General features: G+C 37.1%; 1 protein-coding gene and 1 pseudogene across 6 annotated transcripts in view; one reads left to right on the top strand and one right to left on the bottom strand.

The window, feature by feature from the left end:
* The window catches only part of BRWD1 (bromodomain and WD repeat domain containing 1), a 137,037-nt gene that overhangs the window by 96,502 nt on the left and 13,264 nt on the right, over positions 1-27,271 (top strand). For 5 of the 6 annotated variants that reach the window (XM_017028373.2, NM_018963.5, XM_011529612.2 and 2 more), the window contains 12 exons: positions 242-303; positions 6,051-6,206; positions 6,439-6,559; positions 9,349-9,474; positions 11,158-11,230; positions 12,004-12,045; positions 13,782-13,925; positions 14,564-14,716; positions 18,437-18,603; positions 22,166-22,386; positions 24,325-24,492; positions 25,049-25,948. In XM_017028373.2, coding sequence (XP_016883862.1) covers positions 242-303; positions 6,051-6,206; positions 6,439-6,559; positions 9,349-9,474; positions 11,158-11,230; positions 12,004-12,045; positions 13,782-13,925; positions 14,564-14,716; positions 18,437-18,603; positions 22,166-22,386; positions 24,325-24,492; positions 25,049-25,948 — 2,333 coding nt within the window. The remainder of the gene's footprint in view (positions 1-241; positions 304-6,050; positions 6,207-6,438; positions 6,560-9,348; positions 9,475-11,157; positions 11,231-12,003; positions 12,046-13,781; positions 13,926-14,563; positions 14,717-18,436; positions 18,604-22,165; positions 22,387-24,324; positions 24,493-25,048; positions 25,949-27,271) is intronic. The other variant, XM_011529611.2, reaches the window with a different exon arrangement.
* On the bottom strand, positions 7,923-8,057 carry TIMM9P2 (TIMM9 pseudogene 2; annotated as a pseudogene).

Raw genomic sequence — 27,271 nt, 5'->3', positions numbered from 1 at the left:
CTTCATGCCTTGTCTTTCAGTTATTGTTCACTTTGGGTGCAGGCCACATAGGATTTCTGGTTTTGTTCTTAAACCTGTTATTTTAATAATATATCCTTCTTAAAAAAATTTACTGTTAATATTTAAAATTGTACTGCTGCAGTGAGGTTAATTTTCACATTTTGTATTTTTATAATGGATACCTATTATCCACATTTTGTTTTTATGAAAGGCTAACCAGAGATTTGTTGTTTTTTAACAGGTGGGATAATACTGAAATTGAAAAACTTAGCCCATGGGACATGGAACCAATTCCTGATAATGGTATATATATTTGTTAAATAATGAAAACATTTTATTTTTATAATATGTACATTTGCCAGTGCACATGGAACAAACATATTTGTATTCTATGATCAATATATTCAAATTATTACAGTAACTGAACTTTACTGAAAGAAGACAACAGCATCGTGTTTATCTGTTTTGTTAATTCTTGACCTTAGATTCCAGCTTGATTTTGGCTGTACCTTAATAGCTTGCTGTCGTTTCTCATGTAACCCTGCATTAAACTTAACTCCTGGCTGGGCGCCATGGCTCACGCCTGTAATCTCAGCACTTTGGGAGGCCAAAGCAGATGGATCACCTGAGATCAGGAGTTCGAGACCAGCCTGGCCAACATGGTGAAACCCTGTGTCTACTAAAAATACAAAAAATTAGGCGGGCATGGTGGCGTGTGCCTGTAATCCCAGCTACTTGGGAGGCTGAGGCAGGAGAATTGTTTGAACCCGGGAGGCAGAGGTTTCACTGAGCCAAGATTGCGGCTACTGCACTCCAGCCTAGGCGACAGCGAGACTCCATCTCAGAAAAACAAAACAAAAAATTTACATCCTTCATGTAGCCTCTACTTTTCCTACCTCATTCTTAATCTTTTACCCTTGGTCTTCCTTCAAGGAAAAGATTGAACTTGACTTCCATCTGTCTTCTGCTTTACCTCAAGTTGTCTTATTATGGATTTTCTACTGAAATAGACAACTATTTAAAGCCAGCCTGTCCTCCAGTGCTAGCATCCCACTGCTGTTGGCCTTCCAAGGGCCTGGTACCTACACTTAGCTCATCCCCTCCAACAATTTTAATTTCCTCCTACCTTTCTCCAGTCAGGTTTGAATATGTCTCTTAGACCTTACATTTGACTTCATGAAGCATTTTTGTTACTGAATTATTTCCCTTTTGCGAAACTTTTTGAAAGGGTACTCTATATCTCTTGTGTCCATTGTTTTCACCACCAAGCTTTCTTTATGTGTTTTTACTGATTTGTAACATCCTTTGATGTTTTTCTCTTTTTATAATTTTCAAGAAAATCTCTGAATATCTGCATTTTGATATTTCTCTTCAATATGTACTCTCCATTTTTTATAGCACTTTAAAAAACTTGATTTCAAGATAATTTCAGACTTAAAAAAAGTTAAAAAAAATAGTACAAGGATTTTCTGAATACCTATATTTCCCTTCTTATACAGCTAGCACATTGCAGTGATCAAAATCAGGAAATTATTAATACGATACTATTGTCTATAGACTTTATTCAGATTTTGTCTGTTTCACTAATATCCTTTCACATTTTGGATTTGTCATGTCATCTTAGTCTTTAATCCAGGATCCCTCCGTTTTTCACTGTCTTTCATGACTTTAAGGCTTTTGAAGATTACTGGGCAGTTATTTTATAGAATTTCCATTAGTTTGGGTTTGATGTTTTTCTGGATTAAATTTAGGTTTTGCATTTTTGGCAAAAATGTCAGAAAGGTAATGTGTCTTTCTCAGTGCAATTATTTTAGGATTTTAATAATTTGATTTAGGGGGTATGTGTCAGGTTTCTCCAGTGTAAAGTAAATACTTTTTCCATTATAATTAGTGTCCCATGGGGATATATTTATGTGCTGCAAAAATCTTGTTTCTTATGCTGTTTCCACTCACTAATTGTAGCATCCGTTGATAATTCTTGCCTCAAATAATGATTTTTTGTTTTCATTGTCTTACATGTGTTAGTTGGAATTCTACTATAAGATACATCTTCTCCTTTCCCATTTATTTATATTAGTATGTACTCAGATTTTTGTGAAATAAAATCAGTGTTCAATTGTTGTCATTATTTTGTTGCTACCTTATTGCAGATTTGGCCACTGGGAACCCCTTCATGTTGGCTCCTATGTCCATTTGACATTTTCTTTTGAATCGCCTTTGAGTGTTTTCATAGCTTCTGGCAATATGCAGTGTTCAAGGCTCACCTTGTACTTTCCTTACCTCAGCTGTGGAATCAGGCAGTTTTTCAGGGGCCATGGCCTGTTTGATTGGAGAATGGCATTTAGAAACCAAGATATTTCTTGTTATTGATGAATCATATTCCATTGTATGGATATAACACATTTTTATCCATTCATCAGTTGATGGGCATTTGGATTGCTTCCATTATTTGGCGGTGAATAGTCCTCCTGTGAATATCATGTGCAAGTTTTTTTTTCTTTTGGGTACATATGTAGGAGTGGCATTGCTGGGTTACGTGGTAACTCTGTTTAACCTTTTGAGGGCTGACAAATGGTTTTTTTGGAGCAGGTATACCATTTTACATTTCCAGCAACAGTGTATGTGGGTTCCAATTTTTTCACATCCTGGATACTTTTGTTTTTTTTAACTTATAGGAAGTATTATTGTGATTTCGATTTGCCTTTCTCTGATGCCTAATGATACTGAACATTTTTTCCTTTGTTTATTGGTCATTTTTATATCTTTGTAGAAATGTTCAATTTCTTTTTTCTTTCTTTCTTTTTTTTTTTGAGACAGTCTCCCTCTTTGCCCAGGTTGAAGTGCAGTGGTGCAATCGCGACTCACTGCAACCTCCACCTGCCAGGGTCAAGTGGTTCTTGTGCCTCAGCCTGCTGAGTAGCTGGAACTATAGGCATGTGCCACCCAGCTATTTTGCCATGTTGGCCATACTAGACTTGAACTCCTGGCCTCAAGTGATATGCCTGCGTTGGCCTCCCAAAGTGGTGGGATTACAGGCGTGAGCCACGGAGCCTGGCTGAGAAATATTCAGATTCTTTCCTCATTTTTAACTGTTATCCATTAGTTTGGGATATCATAATTTCTTCTGTTCCCTTAAATGGTCTCTGTATTTCGGGGCTTTTCTGGATTTTTTTTGTTTTTTTGCTTTATTTTCTTTTACTGTTTCATTAGGATAATTTTTATTGCTGTGTCTTCAGTTTTTATTGCTGTGTCTACACTATGTTAGTGTAAAATTTGTTACATATGCATCTTTTTAGTTTTATGTTTGGAAAATATTAGTTATTATTGCTTTGTTTTATGAAATATTAGCTATGCTTATAGAGTAAATCATATAACTACATCACATATTTGTTTCATACACATTTCTTGAATGCCTACCGTTTGGGGGGCATCAAGTTAGGCACTAAATAGACATTATGAGAAAAGATTTAGTTTTTTCCCCTCAATGATGATATACATTCAGAAATGAATAACACATATTGTGCTCTTTTGAATTTTTTTTTTTTTTTTTTTTTTTAAGATGTAGTTTTGCTTTGTTGCCCAGGCTGGAGTGCAGTGGCGCAATCTCCACTCATTGCAACCTCCACCTCCCAGGTTCAAGTGATTCTCTTGCCTCAGCCTGTTTAGTAGCTGGGACTACAGGTGTGTGCCACCATGCCTGGCTAGTTTTTGTATTTTTAGTAGAGATAGGCTTTTGCCATGGCCAGGCTGGTCTTGAATTCCTGACCTCAAGTGATCCCCCTGCCTCGGCATCCCAAAGTGCTAGGATTACAGGCATGAGCCACCATTCCTGGTGTTGAGTCTTTTTATATTTTTATCTTATATATTTATATTTTCTTTCGGAATATCTTATGTATCACCAGCCAATGTGTTTATAGTATTCACCTTACTGCTTGTTGTTTTCATCTCTAAAAGTTGGATTTGGGTGTGTGTTTCATGTCTTCCATTTATATATGTTTTTAATGAACATGCGTAATATAATAACTGCATTCATGTCTTTGCTAATTCTAACATATGTGCCAATTCTGGTTGGTTGATTAATAAATCTCTTCATTATGGGTATTTCCTAATATATTACCTGTGTTATAATTTTACATTTTATGTCAGACATTGTGAATTTTTACCTTGTTGGGTGCTGTATATTTTTGTATTCCTGTAAGTGTTACACTTTGTTCTGTCACACAATTAAGCTAGTCGGAAACAATTTTATCTTTTTAAGATATGGTAGATGGGTTTGGAGCAGTGCTCAGCCTAGAACTGATTTACTTTTGACTTCTAAGGCAAGGCCCTTTTATGCAGTGTATCCACTGCTCTATGTATCATGCAGCTTTTTCAGTCTGGCTGAGGGAACAGGCGTGGGTGCTGGCCTTTTTGTGCATCAGGCCTTTGTTATCACAGAACTTTCATTTGGTTCTTTTCCTGGCTTCCTGTCATTTCTTCACACGTGTGGGTTGATCAGTATTCACCAGAATACCTGAGGAGACCAGCCCAGGCAACATAGTGAGACCCCCTTTCTCCCCATTAAAACAGACACACCCACACACCCACCCACCCACACCCCTTGCCCAAAGTCATAGTTTTTAGGTGGTATAGATGTGATTTGAACTTAGATCCCGGCTTTGATAAACCAGTGTTTTTTAAAGCACTTTATGTTGCCTGCCTGTACAGCGTCTTTCCTCTTCCTTTTGATGAGATAAAATACTGAAAGCATAACTCTGAATTACAGTATAAAAATACACATTTTGGCTTATTAGGGCAGTGGGATGTCTCTGCCCTCTTCCCCCACATTTCTTTTATGTTCATGCAGAAAATAAAATGGAAATCCTTTTTCTTTTTGCAAGAACATGAATTATAAGCTTATAGGAATCATTTATCATCCATGTTTAAAAAATTCCCATCTCTCAGCTAAAAGACTACATCATATGACTTAATTCTAATAGGTCAACTCTACTGAAGTTAAGAGCATTCCCAAAGAATGCTCTATATAAAACTTGTGTGTATGTTTGCAGGAATCTTAATGGATATGTTTCTAGAGGAAATGCTCCCATGAGCATTCTCTCCATCATTTAGCAGCTGTTAAAATGATGCTCTTCCCAATGCCCTTGTTCCCTCATTGTAAACGTGCTCTGAGTTAACCTGGTAGCCAGTACACAGTACACAGTAAATGACATTTCTTATCTGTATGTTAGAACTACTATTCAATAAGCTAAAATATTTTGAGCTTCCTCAGATTTTCTCCTTTTTTTTTTTTTGAGACAGAGTCTTGCCCTGTTGCCCAGGCTGGAGTGCAATGGCACAATCTCGGCTCACTGCAACCTCCACCTCCGGGTTCAAGCTATTCTCCTGCCTCAGTCTCCTTAGTAGCTGGGATTACAGGTGTGCCCCACCACAGCTGGCTAAGTTTTGTATTTTTAGTAGAGATGGGGTTTTGCCACGTTGGCCAGGCTGGTCTCAAACTCCTGACCTCAGGCGATCCACCCACCTCGGCCTCTGAAAGTGCTAGGATTACAGGCGTCAGCCACCCTGCCTGCTTCTCCTTATTTTTTCAAGAAATACCAGTCTGTTTCATTTGCGCTCCCTTAAAATTTAAGAAAATTAGCCATTTGTCATGTGGGATTATTTATCCATTTTGACTTGACTTTTTAAAAATTTTAATTTAAAAATTTTAACTGTATGTAAGCTTAAAATTTTGAATATTGTCAGGTTCAATTTGTGTTTTCAGAGGCCTCAGGGTTAAGTTTGCCTCCTTGAAGAAATAGACTGAAAACTGCAATACTGGCACTCTTATTTTTAATTTTTAATTTGTTAGGGTAGGTAGATTGTGTTTTTACCTGAATTTAAGCAATTTGTTAATCTCAATGAGTAATTTTAAAAGAGTTGCACATTTGAACTCTATTTTTGACTGTGGAGATAACCTAGTTTTATAAGCTATGAAAATTGAATTTTAATACCGTATATATTTATTTTTTGTGTTTTTTTCTTCCTCTCATTGTTTTTTATGGTATTCATAGTTGATCCACCTGAAGAATTAGGAGCTAGTATTTCTGTCACAACAGATGAGCTAGAGAAATTGCTCTATAAACCACAAGCTGGTGAATGGGGTCAGAAATCAAGAGATGAAGAATGTGATAGAATTATCAGTGGTATAGATCAACTTTTGAATCTTGGTAAGTTTTTTATTTTTTAGGATGAAAAGTTTTTTTTTCAATTTTTTTCATAAAGGTATTTAAAAATACTAGCATAATTGAGGTTTCTGTTCTTTTCTACACTTTGTATTGGTTATCTTTTAATTTAGCCTGTAATGTTAAATGTAGCCATATCTTATGAATGATTTCTAGAGAAGTACCACTTAGAGGCAATGGATTTATTGATTAAAAACTCTCCTGTCTTCCCTAACAGATATAGCAGCAGCTTTTGCAGGCCCTGTTGATTTGTGTACATACCCGAAGTACTGTACTGTAGTAGCTTATCCAACCGATCTTTACACAATTCGAATGAGACTTGTTAATCGATTTTACAGGTTAGTAGAAACCTGCTTTCAAAATGTTTAAAAAGCTATATTTGGCAATATTGACTAGGGTAAACAAAGAAAGAGATAGTGGTAGAATTGGGGGCTGATTAGCATTTTCTGTTTCATTATTCTCTTTCATTGTCAGATGGTGTTAGATGCCTATGGGTAGGTGTGGGTAGGGCCAGGCAGAAGATTGACTACCATATTTCACCCTCGTTTTTTTTTCAGTGATTATTTCCATATCACTGAAATTTTACTTTTATTCCACTTATTTCAGTAAACTTTCACTGGTACTTTAGTAATGAGAATTTTTCTATCCTCATACATGATTGAAGACATAATTTGTTTTAAAATTAATAGCCATAATTGAAGAAACAGTTGTTTGTTTTTCTAATCAGGTAACCAAGGTGCAGAATCTTAAGGCCTCAGTAAATGTTGTGTTTTATTATTTGAACAATAAGACCTTCTATTTTAATTATTCTTGGTAAATAGTGGTTTTGTTTCTCCAGTGGTTTTCATTTGCCAAACTCATGACAGATGGTTTAACAGGGGGGCTACTGCTCCCAGGGAACTGTCAGATAAATCCTCATTTCCAGTGCAGCAGCTGTTGGCAGTCTTTCATCAAAAGTCCATCCATCTGGAGTTACCTATTGTGATTGGCCAAGTAGTTTTGCTTTGGCTACCAGGGCTTCGTTCTGTTGAATATGATATTCCTGAAATCTCTTGGATATTCTTTGTGTCATTTAAAAATAATTTTTGTGGGAGGCCAGGCGCATTGGCTTATGCCTGTAATCCCAGCACTTTCATGAGGCCCAGGCGGGTAGATCACCTGAGGTCAGGAGTTTGAGACCAGCCTGGCCAACATGGTGAAACCCCTTCTCTACTGAAAATACAAAAATTAGCCAGGCACGGTGGCACGTGCCTGTAATCGCAGGTACTTGGGAGGCTGAGGCAGGAGAATTGCTTGAACCTGGGAGGTGGAGGTTGCAGTGAGCTGAGATCACGCCACTACACTCCATCCTGGGTGGTGGAGTGAGACCCTGTCTAAGCAATTAAAAAAAAAAAAAAAAAAAAAAATATATATATATATATATATATATATATATATAAATATATATATATATTTATATATATATATATATATATATATTTGTGGGAGCTAAATGATAAGACCACATGGACACACAGAGGGGAACAACACACACTAGGGCCTTTTGGAGGGTGACAGGAAGGAGAGAATCAAGAAAAACAACTAATGGGTACTAGGCTTAATACGTGGGTGATGAAATAATCTGTATAGCCAACCCCTGTGGCACAAGTTTCCCTGTGTAACAATCCTGTACTTGTACCCTTGAACTTAAAAGTTAAAAAAAATATATTTCTGTAAGCAATGGTCTGAACAGGTGGTCTCTTCAGGCTTTACTTTTGTTGTGAAGTCTTTAACACAGTCCAAAAAGCAGGTTTCTCTAAGTTTATTGTAGGTCCCAAGAAATTCCTTAAACTGTTCTGAGTAGATTCTGTTATTTATACAGTCATATACTTCTGGCCTTTCTGATGCATGAGTTTCCTTTCTGCTCTGGAAAAATAGTTGTTCAACCTATCCTTGAGTGTCTCCAGTAAGGCCTGATATCTTATTTAAGCACAGGCTCTCACAGCCGACATGAGTAGGAGGCTGAGAGTTGCAGGGATGGTCAGGCCTGGCTGGAGAAGGGAGGTCCGAGTCAGGGCCTCAACCCTCAATCTTTAGTAATCTGTTTTTCTTAGAAATTTTGTTAAGTTGTTAGATAACTTTATTTTTTTTCTTTGTATGTTTAAATTTCTATTTAACTACATTTAAAAATAATATTTATATAGTTAATACTTGGTCTTTTTGGCCTTTGGAAGATTAATTTCCCAGAGGCACTGACTTTTTATCTTTGGCTTCTAGAGCACTGGTAAGTATAAAATTTCCTATTCTTAATGATTTTTACAGCAGTTGATTGTATTTTAACTTTTATAATTCAACTACTTTAAGAAATTATAAAAAGTCATCTTGAGTCCACATTATCGACGTAATTTATCTCTGTAATTTAACACTGGAATGTGCATTCCCATCAGAAACCACTTGATTGTTTACAGTGAAACTGAAGCTCTTAGTTTTTGTTTGTTTTTTTGTTTGTTTTTGAGAGAGTCTTGCTCTGTCACCCAGGCTGGAGTGCAGTGGCATGATGATAGCTCACTGTAGCCTCGACCTGCCAGGCTCAAGCAATCCTCCCACCTCAGCCTCTTGAATAGCTGGGGCTACAGGTGCGCACCAGTACGCCTGGCTAATTTTTTAATTTTAATTTTTGGTAAATTTGGGGTTTTGCCATGTTGTCCAGGCTGATCTTGAACCCCTGGGCTCATGCTGTCCTCCTGCCCTGTCCTCCCAAAGTGCTGGGATTACAGGTGTAATCCCAGCTTGCTGGGCCAGCTTTTAGGGTTGATGATATTTAACATATTTTCTTTATTGAGATTCAACAATTTTAAAAGGTACCTATATGCAGTATGAAAAGGGAGGGTAGTTTTGTTGGTTTTCTGTATGTGATTAAGTAATTTGTTAAGATTTTTGTCCTCTTCAGTTCAATATAATTGCTTCGGTGTCCAATGTATTGCCTATGACTATGATCAAGTTGAGAGCATTAGAAGGTTATTCATTATAACTTTGCACTTATGGTTTAATTATTATTTCACAGTTGTTTAATTCACATGCTGCATTTTTTCACTTGGTTTCTATCTTCTCATTTTCTAAGCCCTAAATTGTCTACTTTATTTTGAAGGAGGCTGTCTGCGTTAGTTTGGGAAGTCAGATATATAGAACATAATGCCAGAACATTTAACGAACCTGAGAGTGTAATTGCAAGATCAGCTAAAAAGATAACTGACCAACTTTTAAAATTTATCAAGTAAGTAATTTCATAGATGTTGTGTAAAAGTGACTGCATATTGTGCTATTAACAATCATCTAGTTTTGCCGGGCGTGGTGGCTCATGCCTGTTAATCCCAGCACTTTGGGAAGTGAAGGCCGTCAGATCACTTGCGGTCAGGCATTTGAGACCAGCGTACCAACATGGTGAAACCCCGGCTCTACTAAAAAAAATACAAAAATTAGCCGGGCGTGGTGGCGGGTGGCTGAGGTGGGAGAATTGCTTGAACCCAGGAGGTGGTGGTTACAGTGAGCCCAATCGTGTGTGGATCGTGCCATTGCACTCCAGCCTGAGTAACAAGAGCAAAACTCTGTCTCCAGAAAAAAAAAAAAAAAGGAAAAAAAAATCATCTAGTTTTGTTTTTTACTCAGAACTATACTTTTTTAATGCTTTACTTTAGATGACATTTCTTTACATACATAATTTAAGTAAAAGTCTGAGAAACTGAATAATTCAGTTTTTCAACTTTTTAAAATTTTGAAATAATTTTATACTCCAGAAAGTTGCCATTTGCCTTTCATCTAGTCTCCCCTTAGGTTAACATTTTATATAACTACGGTATACTTATGAAATGTTAAAAAAAAAATCTTGGTACCATGCTATTGACAGAAAGTGTAGAATTTATTTGGATTTCACTAGTTTTTACACCCTTTTATGTTTCAGAATCTAATCCAGAATCCCCATCAAATTTAGCGTTTTGTTTTCTTAGTCTCCTTCAGTTTTTTCTTGTCTTTATCACCTCATCATTTTTATGAATGTTACTTATTTTATAGAGTATAGTTATGTTACTTATTTTATAGAGTATATTTAATTGGATTTTGTTTGGTATTTTCCCATGATTATGTTGTTTTAATGTTTCAGATTATGTCCTGTGAAAATGTTTGTATACGTGTGAATATTCTGTAGATTTTCTTAAATTCAGAAGTATTCAGAATCAAAGAATGTAAACTGACTTGGAAATTCAGACCCAGGTTCTAGTCTGCTCTATTCTAGTGAGCATTCTTAATTTAGAAACAGTGCCATCGTTTTCAGCATCTAGCTGAAAACTGGGGAGTAACTGATTCTTGTCAGCTTTCTTGGTTTGATTCTGTCCTAAGTCTTGGAGACTCATACGTAAGTTACCTCCTCCCCAGAATCACCTTCTTGTTCTTACTTCAGGAAAATTATCTACCCATTTTTGTCTCCTTTATGCTTAGATATCCATATTTCAGCATTCTTTTTTTCTCCTGTGTGTACAGTAAGATACTATTTGCTTTAATTTCAATTCCTTTTTCCCTTATATATATATGTATATATATATATTTTTTTTACCTTAAATCAACTGTTTTCCTGGTACTTATTGTGTGAATACTGCTATTGATGATACTTAGAAAAACTCATCCATGTATTCATCCAATTGAGGCCATACATATATTATTTTTGGATTACCTGCTTAATTTGGATACATACTTAACGGAAAACAAGAAAAACCTTCAAGATTCTAAATTAGGATTTAAGATGGCTAGTTACGTTTACAAAGGGTTGGGGGAAAACCTGATATTCCTCTGTTTGAAATTAGGCACGTATAGGTTGGTGAACTGTTTATATTTTAATGTATAATTTGAATCCTTGCCAACAAGTCACTACATCTGCATACTATTAAAGTGAAAATTTGTTTTTTAGGAATCAACACTGTACAAATATCTCAGAACTTTCTAACACATCTGAAAATGATGAGCAAAATGCTGAGGATTTGGTATGAAGTTTGTTGATTTTATAATGGTTTTTGTTAATTTCAAATGGTATTTTTAAAGTGAAGAAAATGTTGGCTTTGTAGTACCAACTCTTGTAGTAGTCCAATGAACAAATAGGGCATTTGATAAAATTATATTTTTGAATTTTCTAGATGATTTATGAGGTAATTTGTTTTAGCTAATATCAAAATATATCTAAGTGAATAACTTTAGGTGTGGAATATATTCTCTTTCTATATTTTAGCTAGTGAAAGGTGTATTATATAAAGTACCTTGGAGGCTGGGCACAGTGGCTCACACCTGTAATTCCAGTGCTTTAGCAGGCTGAGATGGGAAGATTGCTTGAGCCAGGAGTTTGAGACCCTGTCTCTACAATAAATAAAAAAGTTAGATGGGGGTGGTAGTGCATGCCTGTACTATAGAACACAAAATGCAGAAACTATAGGAATCTGTATGTTTCTGGGGATTTGTGGATAGAGGTAAAACACAAGTTTTCTATTTAGGAAATGCATGAAGCGTCTTTTTATAGCTGTAATTTCAAATTTTAGAATTAGTTCATGTTCTTAGGGAATGAAAAAGGATTATTAAGAATGATTTTTTTTTTTCAAGCCTGGGTGCCACAAAGATCATCTGGTAGTCTTTCTTTGGAGATTTTGATAATAACATGTTATAACTCTGGTAATACCAAATGTCTTTGATATGTTATTTATTAAGATTATGTTATTATTTTCTAATGAGACTCTAAATACTTAAGGTGCTCTGATTTTATTCCTAGGATGATAGTGATCTTCCTAAAACATCTTCTGGAAGGAGGAGAGTAAGTTACTCTGCATGGTTGACTTTTGTAGTTTCTTTTTCTTTGTTTTAAAATCAATTCAGGATTTTAGTTTTTGTCTTTGAAAAGTTATATCAGTGTAGATACTGAATATTTTATTAGCAAAATGGGAGAAATTACTGGAAAGATTTAGTGGGAGAGTTGGAATTTGTACTGTATTATCAGAGTGAGATGGAGTAAGAAGAGGCCATTCAAAAAATAGAGGCTACCACAGGAAAGACAAAAAAAGTAGAGAAATATGGCATGGCATGTCCATAGACTGTTAAGGGAACTACACCTGACTGGTGTAGAGGTTGGATGTTGAAGTGATCAAAGTGGCTGTGTCTGGCTGTTATGATTGGGGTAGATTATGGTGATATTGAAATCCAAGGATTTCATTTAAAGTAGAGAATCAATTGAACAGCCAAAATAGATAATACAATTTGAAGGATAAGAAGATGTGTATTAAAGGAGATGAATTAGGAGTTTATTCCAAGAATATAGGGTGAAGGACGGGTACCTAGTCAAGGATATTTGCTTGGAATGGAGAGGAAAGGAAAATTATGACACCTTTTTAGGGAAAACTAACTAGGATTTGGTGACTGAACTTTTTTTAACAATGGAGATATGTTGGGATGATGAGGTTGAGGGGTAAGGAGAAGGGTCTATGGAACTAAGTTTATGAAAGTGGGTAATCATAATGGAGTATCGGCAGGCTTTGAAGTTCAAATATAGAGTAATTAAAATTAAAGGTTATTAATATGAAAATGCTTAAGACATTTTAGCCCAGATCATTTTAAATTTCCTCCAAATGCTCCTTAAATTTAAGCTTTTTATGAAATATTAATTTATACCATGTGCTTGCCTTCCAGAACACTGAAAAGTTATACCTAAAATACTCTAATTTGATTAGTCATTTTCGTTTAATTTTATTTCTAGACTCCCAAGTGTTTAGTATTTGTATTTATTTGCTATGTCTGCTGCAGCAAATGACAAATTTAGTTGCTTAAATAATAAAAATGTATTACCTGATAGTTCTGTAGATTAGAAGTTTTCATGGGTCTCTAGGTCAGAATCATGGTCTTGGTGTGGCCAGAAGCTCCAGGGAGAGTTATGTGCATTTTCCAGCTTCTAGTGGGTGTCCTCACCTTGGCTCCAGGTCACCTTGTTCCATCTTTCAAGCCAACAATGTAGCATTTTTCAGTCTCTCTCTGACTCTGACCTTTCTGCCTCCCTCTTATAATAACTTTTGTGGCTATACTGGGTCCAAGCAATCAATTCAAGATAATCTTTCATCTCAAGGTCTATACCCTTAATGCAAAATACCTTTTCTCATGTAAGGCAACATAGTCATAGGTTATGAGGATTATGATGTGGACATCTTTGGTGGGGCCATTATTCTGCCTATCATATTATCAGATGTGCTTCATATTCTGCGAAAACAAATATTATAAACCTGGGAGGTGAGAGGTCATGGAATAGCCTTTCACTAGATAATGTGCTCTTGTTAGAGTATGCTTTTCATAGCTAACTTTGTAATATTTCTGAAATTGGTTAAGTTATATGAAAATAACTTACGTTTCATGCATAGTTTAAAAATTTCATTTCTGGAAAAATGTGTTGAGAGCAACATATATGACATTATTGTATTTTTATAGAAGACAGTAGATCAGTTACATTTTTACCACAGTCTTACACCAATAGTGTGATTTTTCTTAAGACTGTGAATGTATTTTTAGGTCCATGATGGGAAAAAAAGCATCAGAGCTACGAACTATGTTGAAAGCAACTGGAAGAAACAGTGTAAGGAACTAGTGAACTTAATTTTTCAGTGTGAAGATTCTGAACCATTTAGACAACCTGTTGATTTGGTTGAATATCCAGTAAGTTTCCATTGTTTAAATGTTTGGGGCTTTTCTTGTTTTGCAGTGAGGAAACTGGGGTAGAGTTATTAAACTTTAAAGAGAAAGATACCCAGGCTTTATGTTAACTTTTTTGCTCCTATCACTAAGTTAGTGGTAGAAGTATTGTTTTTACATAGTTTTCTTCAATTTATAGACACCCTTGTGAGCTCATTTAAGAATTTAGACTTAGATAATCAGTATTACATAACAGTGGGATGGATCTACTTAGATTTCTATCTAAGTAGGCCCAGCACTAGGAGAACTGTGAATTGGATAAACGTGTCTGTTTGCACTCTTTAAAAAGGGAAATTGAAAGATGACTTTATAAAAAAAGTTGGATTATAACAGCACAGAGTGACTGTAGGATGCTTGGAGTACATACAGCAGGAAATAAAACCATCCCATGTGTCACTAACAATAAATAGACATTAACATTTTGGTATATTTCTATCTTTTCTTTGTTTTTATACCTCTTTTTAAACATTACTAATGAATTTTAAGAGTCCTCTAACCTTTTCCTCTCTTCCATCATTTCACATTTTTTAGAGATCTGATGCATTTACATTTCTAAAAGCAAGAAATGAATCTATGAATTAAATATTGTGTTTAAAACCTAGGACTACAGAGATATTATAGATACCCCAATGGATTTTGGAACAGTAAGGGAAACTCTAGATGCGGGAAATTATGACAGCCCTTTGGAGTTTTGCAAAGACATCCGGCTGATATTTAGCAATGCAAAAGCGTATACACCAAACAAAAGATCAAAGGTAATTTTTTATGTGGTTTATTGAAAAAAACTGCCTGATCTGTGTAGATAATTTTCCAATGTAATAGTAATTTTTTCCAGTGTAATTTTCCACTGTGTAATAGAGGTTAGAACATTAAAGATAAGTGAATAAATTAAGACTATTATAAAGAAAAGAGCTTCTGCTACTGCTCATATAGCTTCAGTTTTTGCCTTTCATCAGTTGATGTTTATCATAATCTCCTCAAATTTTATAAGCAAGTGGGGATTAATGGGAGTAGGCATCAATAGAAAGTGAACAAATTTGATACACAGAGTAAGAGTCTCTGTGTTTTGTATGTATAAGGATCTTAAGTGGATTGGAAACATAGATCGAGACTGTAAGAATATTAAAAGTAAAAAGGAAAATCTGATTGTGAGACTGCTGACAGCATAAGAACATTTGGATTTGAAGAAGGAACACATGAGCTATCAGATTAAGACCACAAATAATGTTACAGAGCCAGTGGAGGCTCTTTGCTTGATGTGTTAGAAGCTAATATTATGACACAGGGTTTTTCTTTTTCTTTTTTTTTTTTTTCTAGCCTACTCAAGTGAAGTGGTGACACTGGGTTTTTGAGAATAAGCTTTATATTGAAAGTTGACTCCTAAGGAGACAGGAGTGAATTTCAAATCTGACTCCGGTGCTGGCTTTAAAGCAGTATTTTTATTTTTTATTTTTTTTTAAAGAAAAGGTTCAGGGCATGGATTCTGAGATTAGCAGGTGATTAATGGAAGGAAAGGAGAGGTCTGGAAAGTCTTTGGGCATGTATAGTTATTTCTTTATGTTATCTGATGGGTTGCGTGTGCAAATTTGGGGGAAGTTAGTGTGAAGCATGCTGGAAATTCAGGCTCTGATGTCAGCAGGCTCATTCTTTGCAGACTCCACTTGGCCATACTGGTTTTAACCAGTTTCAGCCAGTTCTTCTTATCTCATAAGCAGAGGGAGTTTTAGTGTTTTATAGTAGGTTGGGTTTCTTTCTTTCTTTTTTTTTTTTTGTCATTTTGTAAACTTAAGAATTTTTGTTAATTGACTTCTTTAACTCTTTGGGGCATGCAGTTTCAGTAGAAGGTTACTAAAGTTTTGTTAACATGTTACACATTGGGTAACTTTTCAAAACTTGATGAGGCCTGTAATCCCTGGAATTTGGGAGGCCAAGGTAGGCAGATCACTTGAGGTCAGGAGTTCGAGACCAGCCTGGTCAACATGGTGAGCCCCCTTCTCTACTAGAGATAAAAAAATTAGCCCGTGTTGGCGCTTGCCTGTAATCCCACCTATAGGCACGAGGCATGAGAACCGCTTGAAATGAGGCATGAGAGCCACTTGAACCTGGGAGGCAGAGGTTGCAGTGAGCTGAGATCATGCCACTGCACTCTAGCCTGGGCAACAGAGCAAGACTCCAGGTAGCTCATGTGTTGAATAATTGTAAAAAGTCATATTTAAAGTAAAATACTTGTTTGATCTTACAACATTTTTTGGTGTCTACAATCAGTGACATTTAACTGTTTTGCTTTAACTGCATTTCCCTGTCATTACTTAATATTAGACTCCTCCTGCATTACTGCCTCTGGTCTCAATTTGAGAACTCTTTCTTGGATTCAGGATCCACACTGCTTGCTGGATCAGTTTAACGTTCAAGGCTAACGTTTCCAAGCTTGGATTTTTGTCAAAGTCACCATTTGTAAGACTGTTTTTTTTCAGCGACAAAATAAATTTCATTCAAGTCTTCCCTGCGCCCCTCAAATACATGTTTGAGGACACATACCATACAGTTCACCATTGAAAGCTTATAGTTCAGTGGTTTTTGGTATAGTACATTGTCAGTTGTTCAAAACTATGGTTAACTATATATAACATAACATTTGCCATTTTAGCCATTTTTATGAGTACAATTCAGTGGCATCGTTTATAATCTTTCTAAAACCTTTTCATCATTCCACACAGAAGCTCTGTAACCATCAAGCAGTAATTTCCCCTCACCCCCAGTCCTTGGAAACCTCTAACTTTCGGTGTCTGAATTTGCCTGTCCTAGATAATTTCATATAAAAATTGAGATCTTACCATATTTGTCCTTTGTGTCCAGCTTATTTATTTCACTTAGTGTAATGCCTTAAAGGCTTATGCATGTTGTAGCATGTATCAGAACTTTATTCCATTTTATGGCTGAATAATATTAAAGTGTGTGGTTATACCATATCTTATTCATTCATCTATCGATGGCCAGCTCGGCTGTTTCTATTTCTTGACCATTACGAGTAATGCTGCAGCAAATTTTGGAATACACGTATCTCTCAGAAACCCTGCTCAATTCCCTTGGGTATAGACCTAAGAGTAGAATTGCTGGGTCATGGGATAATTCATGTTTACCTTTTCCAGGAACCACTACACTGTTTTCCATATTGGCTGCACCTTTTTACATTCCCGCTGGCAGTGTATAAAAGCCACAGTTTGTTCACATCCTTGCCAACACTTGTTGTTTTTGGAGTTTTGTTTGTGTGTGTGTGTGTGTGTGTGTGTGTGTGTGTTTTCTTTTTTTTCTTTTTTTTTTTTGAGCCTGTCTCACTCTGTTGCCCAGGCTGGAGAGCAGTGGTGAGATCTTGGCTCACTGCAACCTCCAACTCCTGAGCAATTTGCCTGCTTCAGCCTCCCGGGTAGCTGGGACTACAGGCTTGCGCCACCATGCCCGGCTAATTATTGTATTTTTAGTAGAGATGGGGTTTCACCATATTGGCCAAGCTAGTCTTGAACCCTTGACCTCAAGTGATCTGCCTGCCTCGGCCTCCCAAAGTACTGGGATTATAGGCATGAGCCACTGTGCCTGGCAGAATAAAATTTATATATATGAAATACTGAAAATAACTGTCAAAGATCATTTCAGATTAAGTATAACAAATTTCACATTCATTTGTGAGCATATATATATGTATATGAGAAGCATGTAAGAAATTCGTATATCTCACATACTTTTTAAAAAAGTTTTCTGGTATTGGAGTGTCTTCGCCATCCACTGCCATGCACAAGAATTATATTTAAGTTTTGAGCATTAGACTTTTGCACTTATTTTCAGGAAAAGTCGTGGAGGAGGATAGAGTAGTTCTGTACATACATAGCTGTATCCAAAAGTATTTAAGATTTGATGTTATTTAATTGTAAACATTGTTAAAACAAATCTTTCATATGCATTAACGTTCTAGGTTATACTTTCTGCTACTGGATGCAAGGTATTTTTGTTTCATTTTTAGAATTAGGTGGCATTGAAAACAGATTGCAGACAGAGATGGGTATATAAAAGTGCTTTTGTTCCCTTGCCCCAAAGAAAGACAGCGCTTTTGTAGCCTAAATAGCAGCCTTAAAACCATTCAACTTCCCATCTAACTTTGGGAGAAGGGTATATTTTGGGGTTTGTACATACAGATGTTAGAATAGGCAAAAACAGTTGAGATTCACTGACATATAGACACAAGTCCTGAATATAGATGCTTGACTTCAAACTACTTTCTTATCATCTGAGAGGTATGTATTTGATACTTCTTACTTCCAGATGTCATTAAGGGAAGGGGGTTGGAAACAGAAGAAGTGGGTGACAGCCATTACCTATAAGCAGTGATATAATACATTGCAAGGGATCTCAATGATTACAATTATTTCTTAAGTACTTTTAAGGCTATTTTGTAATTCTACTTTGTTTTTATATCCTTGCAGATTTATAGTATGACCTTGAGATTATCTGCCTTATTTGAAGAAAAAATGAAGAAAATCTCTTCTGATTTTAAAATTGGTCAAAAATTCAATGAAAAACTTCGAAGAAGCCAGAGGTTCAAGCAACGGCAAAATTGTAAAGGTGACAGTCAGCCTAACAAAAGTATCAGGTAAACTGGTTATGGCAAGCTTGCTTTATTTATTTATTTAATTTTGGAGAGAGTCTCACTGTGTCACCCAGGCTGGAGTGCAGTGGCATGATCTCTGCCTCCCGGGTTCAAGTGATTTTCCTGCCTCAGCCTCCCAAGTAGCTGGGACTACAGGCGCACACCATCACATCTGGCTAATTTTTGTATGTTTAGAAGAGACAGGGTTTCACCATGTTGGCCACGCTGGTCTCGAACTCCTGACCGCAGGTGATCCACCCACCTTGGCCTCCCACAATGTTGGGATTACAGGTGTGAGCCACCACGCCCAGCCTATTTATTTATTTTTTATTTATTTTTGGAGACGGAGTCTCTCTCTGTTACCTAGGTTGGAGTGCAGTGGCATGATCTTGGCTGACTGCAACCTCTGCCTCCCGGGTCAAGCAGTTCTCCTGCCTCAGCCTCCTGAGTAGTTGGGACTACAGGTACATGCTGCCATGCCTGGCTAATTTTTTGTATTTTAGTAGAGACAGGGTTTCACCGTGTTGCCCAGGCTGGTCTCGAACTCCTGAGCTCAGGCAATCCGCCTGCCTCAGCCTCCTAAAGTGCTAGGATTGCAGGTGTGAGCCACCGCGCTCAGCCCTATTTATTTTTTAAGACAGGGTTTCACTATGTTGCCCAGGCTGGGGTCTAGTGATATGATCATGACCACTGCAGCTGCAACTTTCTGGTCTCAAGCAGTCCCTCTCACCTCAGCTTCCCGAGTAGTTGGGATAACAGGGGTGTGTCACCAAGCCTGGCTAATTTTTAAAAATTATTTTTTGTATAGATGGGGTCTTGCTATGGTGCCCACGCTGGTCTTGAACTCCTGGGATCAAGATCCTTCCACCTTGGCCTCCCAATATGTTGGGATTACAGGCGTGAGCCACTGCGCCCAGCCTGTATGCATTTTTTTAAAAATTTAAGACTGTGTTATTTAATCTTTAGAGTACTGTACATTCTGAAAAGACTAGTCATGGGTTTTATAGCTTGAAAGCATTTCTGTGAATATAGAGCTGTTGTATTGGTTTGTAATTCTATAAATATGTAAAATTATAGATTTTTTCAAATCTTATTAAGGATTATTTAAAGTGTCATTTGTATTTTGCATAAGAATTGGCTCTTTAATATAGAGTCGGAGTCCCCAGCACCTGCTCCCTGTGTAGACTGGGCCACACAGTAGGATGTGATTGGCTGGCAAACAAGCATTACCACCTGAGTTCTGTCTGCTGTCAGATCCGTGGGGGCATTCGATTTTCATAGGAGCAGGAACCTTTTTGTAACTGCATGCGAGGGATCCAGGTTGTGTGCTCCTTATGAGGATCTAATGCCTGATGATCTGAGGTGGAACAGTTTTGTCTTGAACTCTGCCCACTCACTGGCCCCAGTCCCAGTCCATGGAAAAACTGTCTTCCACAAAACCGGTCCCTGGTGCCAGAAAGCTTGGGGACTGCTATGTAGAGAATAATGTGATTTTTATGTATGGTCTTTTGAGCATTTGATTGTGTAAGGGAAAATGTACCCTTGATACAATGTACCTCAGTATTACTGAGGATTATTTGTAAAGAAATGTAAAATGAAGGATTTATTAACTTTCTCAGTAATTGTATATTAATTTACATTCTATATTCTTTGACTATGTAGTTTAGATTAATATCACATTTATAGGTACTTTATGTTGTTACAGTATAAAAATTGAGTTGTGCAATGTTTAGTTTGTTTCCATTTATATTTTCAACTGTGCAGTATATCCCTTGATGGGATTTCCTTGTGGTTGCTCTGGGGACTACACTATGCATCTCAATCTATTGCAAACAATCGATTTTATATTAATACTATTTTTATTACAGTACATATAGGAACTTGGCTCTAGTATAGCTTCCTTCCATCCCCTTCCTAGGTGGTGGTGGTATCAGATCACTTTTTTTTTTTTTTTTTTGAGATGGAGTTTTGCTCTTGTTGTCCAGGCTGGAGTGTGTTGTTGTGCTATCTGTTTTCTGTGCCCTCTCCATCTCCGGTTTTCGCGCTTTTTTTGTGTCTGCGTCTCGCGTGTCTGTGGTTTTAGGGGCCCGCGCCCCCGCGCCGATGTTTTTTTTTGTTTTTTTTGTAGACGGGGTTTTTCCCCATTTTGGCGGCTTGTCTCAAACTCCTGACCTCAAATAACCCACCTGCCTCGGGCTTCCAAAGTGCTGGGATTACATGCATAAGCCACTGTGCCCAGCCTTATATTTACTTTTGTTCTCTCCCTTGATTATTAACGGCATTTAAAATTTTTGATATTACAGCCTTGACAATTATTGCTTTAAAGAATTGTGATTAACTTTAAGCTTCAATGTCTAGATACCACTTAAAAGGCTGTTTTGCTTTTGTTTTAAGAAGCAGGGTCGGCTGGGCGCGGTGGCTCACGCTTGTAATCCCAGCACTTTGGGAGGCCGAGGTGGGTGGATCACGAGGTCAGGAGATCGAGACCATCCTGGCTAACATGGTGAAACCTTGTCTCTACTAAAAATTACAAAAAATTAGCCGGGCGTGGTGGTGGGCGCCTGTAGTCCCAGCTACTCAGGAGGCTGAGGCAGGAGAATGGCGTGAACTCGGGAGGCGGAGCTTGCAGTGAGCAGAGACTCTGTCTCAAAAAAAAAAAAAAAAAAAAAAAAGAACCAGGGTCTTGCTCTGTTGCCCAGGCTGGAGTGCATGGTGTGATCATAATGTCATCGTAATGTCAAGCTCCTGGGCTAAAACAAGTCTCCTGAGTAGCTGCGATCATAGATGTGCACAACTATGCCCAGCTAATTTTTAAATTTTTTGTAGGCATGGGGTCATGCTATGTTGCCCAGGCTAGTGTTTGAACTCCTGGCTTCAATTTATCCACCTGCCTTGGCCTCCTAAAGTGCTGGGATTACAGGCATGTTCGGCCATTTCTTAGCTGTTTTAAAGGAAAATAGGATTATCTCAATATTCATTCACCCATATTTCTCACATGCCTTAAACTTCCATTCTCCTTTCTCATAATTCCTGGCCTAGTGGCCAACCATGGTGAATGGGTGCAGTTAGATGTAAATAGTCTGGTCTTGGGACAAAAATCATTTTGTTCTGATGCCTTTTTTTAACTTTTCCTGTTTAGGTTTTGTTGATTTCTCCTCTTAACCATATTCTGTCTTTAGGGACATAGAAATAAGAGAGGAGAAAGTTGGGTCCTATTGAGGCTTACATTGGTAGTATGAATGAATACCTATATTACGTAAATGTTGGTTCCTCTTAGCATTTAATCCAAAGAATGTAAGGTATTCAAATAATTTTCTGTAACTCTTACTTGGAACATTGATTCATTACTCCAAATTTGAATAACAGTACGTTAAATTTAGAGTTAGGAAATACTACTACTAATCAGTGCCAGAATAAAATGTTAATAGTGAATATTTTAATGTTTTGATGATAAAATTACTCTCAGTTTAAGAAATATGATATACTTCTATTTAGTCATTCTCTGTGAACCAATTATCTTTGTATTTTGTTAAATACTGTTTCCTTTGTTCATATGTTTGGCCAGAAACCTCAAGCCGAAGAGGTTAAAATCTCAGACAAAAATAATTCCTGAGTTGGTAGGTTCTCCTACCCAGTCTACCTCAAGTAGGACAGCTTATCTTGGAACCCACAAGACAAGTGCTGGTATCTCTTCAGGTGTTACTTCTGGTGACTCTTCAGATTCAGCAGAATCATCAGAAAGGAGGAAAAGAAATAGACCTATAACAAATGGTTCTACATTATCTGGTGAGAAGTGAAATACTATGTTATTTCTTTGCTGAGCACCCAAATGTGTAACACTGGCCGTTACTAGAGATTTAGAGGAAAATATAAAGATGTGGCCTTGACACTGAAAGAACTTACAGTTTAATGGAAGAGATAAACATAATAAACATGGAACAATTCGGTTATCTTCTGTAAGTGCCATGCTTTGTGAATGGTACATTTATATTGAATTGTCAATTACATGATACATAGATTCTTCACACTTGGTGTGCAGCATTTGAAGTTTTTGTATCTTTTTAATTTAAAAATTAAGAAGTACTAAGAATCAATGAAGTTCAAAGCTGATGACGTAGTAAATTCTAAACTGTTCATGTTGTTGCCATCTGGTAGCATAACTGTAGCTGATGCTAACTTTGTTAACATTGTACAAATGAGGCTGTGGTGTGTATCTATTTCTGTACTGCTCTGAGTGGTTTTGCTGAATTATGACAATAGCATACTATTTACTGTTATAATTGAATCATTTATACATATCTTTTACCTAGTATTTCAATAAATAGTATTGACAGCATTGAAAAATATACATACAGATAAAAGTTTGGAATGGAAGTGGACTGTGATAAAACGTGGAGAAAGACAAGCAAGTTCATGTGTATCACATTAGAACTGTACAGTGTTTTAAGGGATACATTCATAGCATGGAATGTCCAATCAGAGTATGCTGGAGTAATTGAAAATGGCACTAGTGATAAGTGGACACATTACAGCCTAGTAGCAACTATGAGAAAATGCACTGAAGGAAAGAAGGATGCATTTTGTGCAAATGAAAAGACCGTTTTGGGGAATGTTACAAACAATGGGATCAAACAGATAGAGTACAGTCAAAGTTTAGCAACTTTCGAGCCTTGCAGAAGAGTTTGGATTACTGAACTGGGTTCCTTATTGAGTGACAGAGTCACATTATGTTTCAGGAAGATTAAGTTTGGCAGTGATGTGCAGAGGGAGGGGAAGAGCCTGGAAAAACAGGGAGTCAAGGTGATGGATGGTAGAGTTGACAGGAGTAGCTGAGGTGGGCAAACAGTAGAACAAGTTCAAAGGATGAACCACAATTTGGTGTCTAGTATTTTGGTATCACAGCCAGTTTTCTTTTCTTCCCTCTCACACTCTTTCTCTCGTGTAGCTGTTATGTAAGAAATGACCTTACTGTGCTGTTAGGAATGGGTAAAAGGATGGTGAGACATGCAAACTATGTCTTCTGAAATGCTGGAATTGAAATGATGGTGTCTTTTTTATATGAAATACCTATCTGATATCACAGAAGGGAGTAGACATGGATCCAATTAATTTAACTAATTTATTTTTGAGACAGAGTCTCTTTCTGTCGCCCAGGCTGGAGTGCAGTGGCACGATCTTGGCTCACTGCTACCTTCCCCTCCTGGGTTCAAGTGATTCTTCTGCCTCAGCCTCCCCAGTAGCTGGGATTTCAGGGTCCTGCCACCACGCCTGGCTAATTTTGTATTTTCAGTAGAGATGGGGTTTCACTATTTGGCCAGGCTAGTTTTGAACTCCTGGCCTCAAGTGATCCACCCACCTCAGCCTCCCAAAATGCTAGGATTACTGGAGTGAGTCACCGTGCCCGGCCTGCAGCTAATTAAATTTTTAATTGGAAGTCTGTTTATAAAATACATAAACTATATTTTGTAAATCTACACTAGGATTAATCTGTTATTTTTAGAAATATAATTAAAAACTATTTGGAATGCTGATTATGTACCTTTTAATACTCCAAATTTCATCAGCTTTTTTTGGGAATGGTTTTTAAAAAATATATTCTAAGCATTTTAGGAATCTGCTTTTGTAGTAATGTTATGTAATGTTCAGAGTAATGTTATGAACTGCTTGCTTATGTGTGTAAAGACAGGAGAATATATGTAACTATTTACACTTTATTTTTCCTAGAAAGTGAAGTGGAAGATTCTTTAGCTACCTCTTTGTCATCGTCAGCTTCCAGTAGTTCTGAGGAAAGCAAAGAGAGTTCCAGAGCTCGTGAATCCTCCTCACGCAGTGGGCTATCCAGAAGCAGCAATCTCAGGGTAACCAGAACTAGAGCTGCTCAAAGAAAAACTGGTAAGAGACTCAGTAGTACTTTTATGGAATGTATATCAAAAGAATCCAAAAGTTATAAATTGAATAGATTCTCGATTTAATGCATCTACGTAAGATTAAGTTAATGTCCTTTAGGTTCCTTAGATTTAGGAAGGAAATGAATTTTGGCATTAAAAAGTGAAGAAAAGGCTGGGTGCGGTGGCTCACGCCTATAATCCCAGCACTTTGGGAGGCTGAGGTGGGCGGATCACCTGAGGTCAGGAGTTTCGAGACCAGCCTGGCCACCATGGCGAAGCCTTGTCTCTACTAAAAATACAAAAAATTAGCCAGGCATGGTGACTGGTGCTTGTAATCCCAGCTACTCAGGAGGCTGAGGTAGGAGAATCGCTTGCACCCAGGAGGCAGAGGTTGCAGTGAGCCAAAATTGCACCATTGCACTCCAGCCTGGGCAACAAGAGCGAAACTCCGTCTCCTCCCCGCCCCCCAAAAAAGTGAAGAAAATCATTAAAATAATAGTCATTTAAAAATGTTGAAATAAGGAAAATCTTTTTAATCTTATTGTTAACCTTATTTCTAGGTCCCGTTTCATTAGCAAATGGATGTGGCAGAAAAGCCACTCGAAAGAGAGTCTATTTAAGTGATTCTGATAACAATTCATTGGAGACTGGTGAAATTCTAAAAGCCAGAGCTGGAAATAACCGAAAAGTCTTAAGGAAGTGTGCTGCTGTGGCTGCCAATAAAATAAAGCTAATGAGTGATGTAGAAGAGAATTCTAGCTCTGAAAGTGTCTGTTCTGGTCGGAAGCTGCCTCACCGCAATGCTTCTGCTGTAGCTAGAAAAAAGTTATTACATAATTCTGAAGATGAACAGAGCTTAAAGTCAGAAATTGAAGAAGAGGAGCTAAAAGATGAAAATCAACTATTACCAGTGTCCAGTTCTCACACTGCCCAGAGCAATGTTGATGAATCTGAAAACAGAGACTCAGAGTCAGAAAGTGATTTGCGGGTAGCCCGGAAAAATTGGCATGCTAATGGTTACAAGTCCCATACTCCAGCACCTTCAAAGACAAAATTTCTTAAAATAGAGTCTTCTGAGGAAGACTCTAAAAGTCATGATTCAGATCATGCATGTAACAGAACTGCTGGCCCATCAACGTCTGTGCAGAAACTTAAGGCAGAGAGCATCTCAGAGGAAGCAGATTCTGAACCAGGAAGATCTGGTGGTAGGAAATACAATACATTTCACAAGAATGCGAGTTTCTTTAAAAAAACCAAGATTCTGAGTGACTCAGAAGACTCTGAATCTGAAGAGCAAGATAGAGAAGATGGGAAATGTCATAAAATGGAAATGAACCCAATTTCAGGAAATCTGAACTGTGACCCTATTGCTATGTCCCAGTGTTCCTCAGATCATGGATGTGAAACTGATTTAGATTCAGATGATGACAAAATAGAAAAACCAAACAATTTTATGAAAGGTAATTCAAAACATTTATCTTTGTTCACTGATTGACTCTCACCATCCTTTTCTCTTACACACATTGGTTTTTTCCCCCCGAAAAAGTTTCCCTTGAAACTTTTTTCTCTTTGCTGTTTCTCTCCCTCCCATGCATTCTGTGTTAGCCTTCTCTGTTCATCCTTTATATTCTTATGTGCATGCGTAACTTTTTATTGAGTATAATTTTATTCACCTAACAGGCAATCTTGGCCTTAAGAACTATGCCTATTGAAGATTTCACTTCTTGTATTGATGATGGGGATATATTATATTAGAGATGGGCTTGAATAAAGCAGAGAGGGGCACATTTATAAGCTGTGATGTTGATAGCTTAAGTAGTAGACAAAAAGGGTAGGACTGTTTAATAAAAAGAGATGTTAGTAATAGCAAATAAAACAGTTACTGAGCTGTTTCTATTAGGAAGTTTTTCTAAATGTTTTCCATTAATAAGCAGTTTAGTCTTCATTTCTTTTATGAAGTAGGTACTAGCATTATTGTTCATTTTACAGGTAATAACTGGAGCACAAAGTGGTGAAATAACTTGTTGAATTAAGATTGTACCCCTGGTACATGGGGATTGATAAAATACTGTAGAGCAGAAGACAGCTAAAACTAAGATGAAAAGTAATTGTGTGATTGGAGCTTGGGGAGTTACGGGGAGTTTCAGAGAGGCTGAGTGTTAAGTGATTACTTTGCATATGCTAGTGCTATGGTAAACAGTTTAGTTGTATTCATGTTAATATTATAGTGTCAAGATCATGGGATGTTATTGAGAATGTGTTGAATTTGTGAATGGTGCTGAGGATGAAAAAGTTACTGCTTTAAAGTACAGTCATGTGCTGCATAACAGTGGTGGTCTCATAAGATTATAATGAAGGTTAAAAATTTCCATTGCTTAGTGAAGTAATCATAGCTGTCCTCAAGTCCTAGTGCAGTGCATTACCTTTTCTGTTTGGATACACAGACACAGACTTACCATTGTGTGACAACTGCCTGCAGGATTCAGAACAGTAGCATGTCATACAGGTTTGTAGCCTAGGAGTAATAGGCTATACCATATAACCTAGATGTGTAGTAGGGTGTACTGTAAGGTTTGTGTAAGCACACTCTGTGATGTTTGCTTAAGACGAAATAGCCTAACGATGCATTTCTCAGAACGTATCCTTGCTGTTGAGCAACATATGACTATACTAATAGGTGTGTACCATTCCATTCACTGCAATACCCCCTTCAAATTAATACGAATTCTGAACTTGTTTTTAATATTGAACATATAATTCCTTTAGACTTACAAAAGATTAAT

The sequence above is a fragment of the Homo sapiens genome, chromosome 21 (assembly GCF_000001405.40).
Source record: "Homo sapiens chromosome 21, GRCh38.p14 Primary Assembly".
NCBI classification, from domain to species: domain Eukaryota; kingdom Metazoa; phylum Chordata; class Mammalia; order Primates; family Hominidae; genus Homo; species Homo sapiens.
The sequence above is the reverse complement of the archived record's forward strand: the minus strand, read 5'-3'. Positions and strand labels throughout refer to the sequence as shown.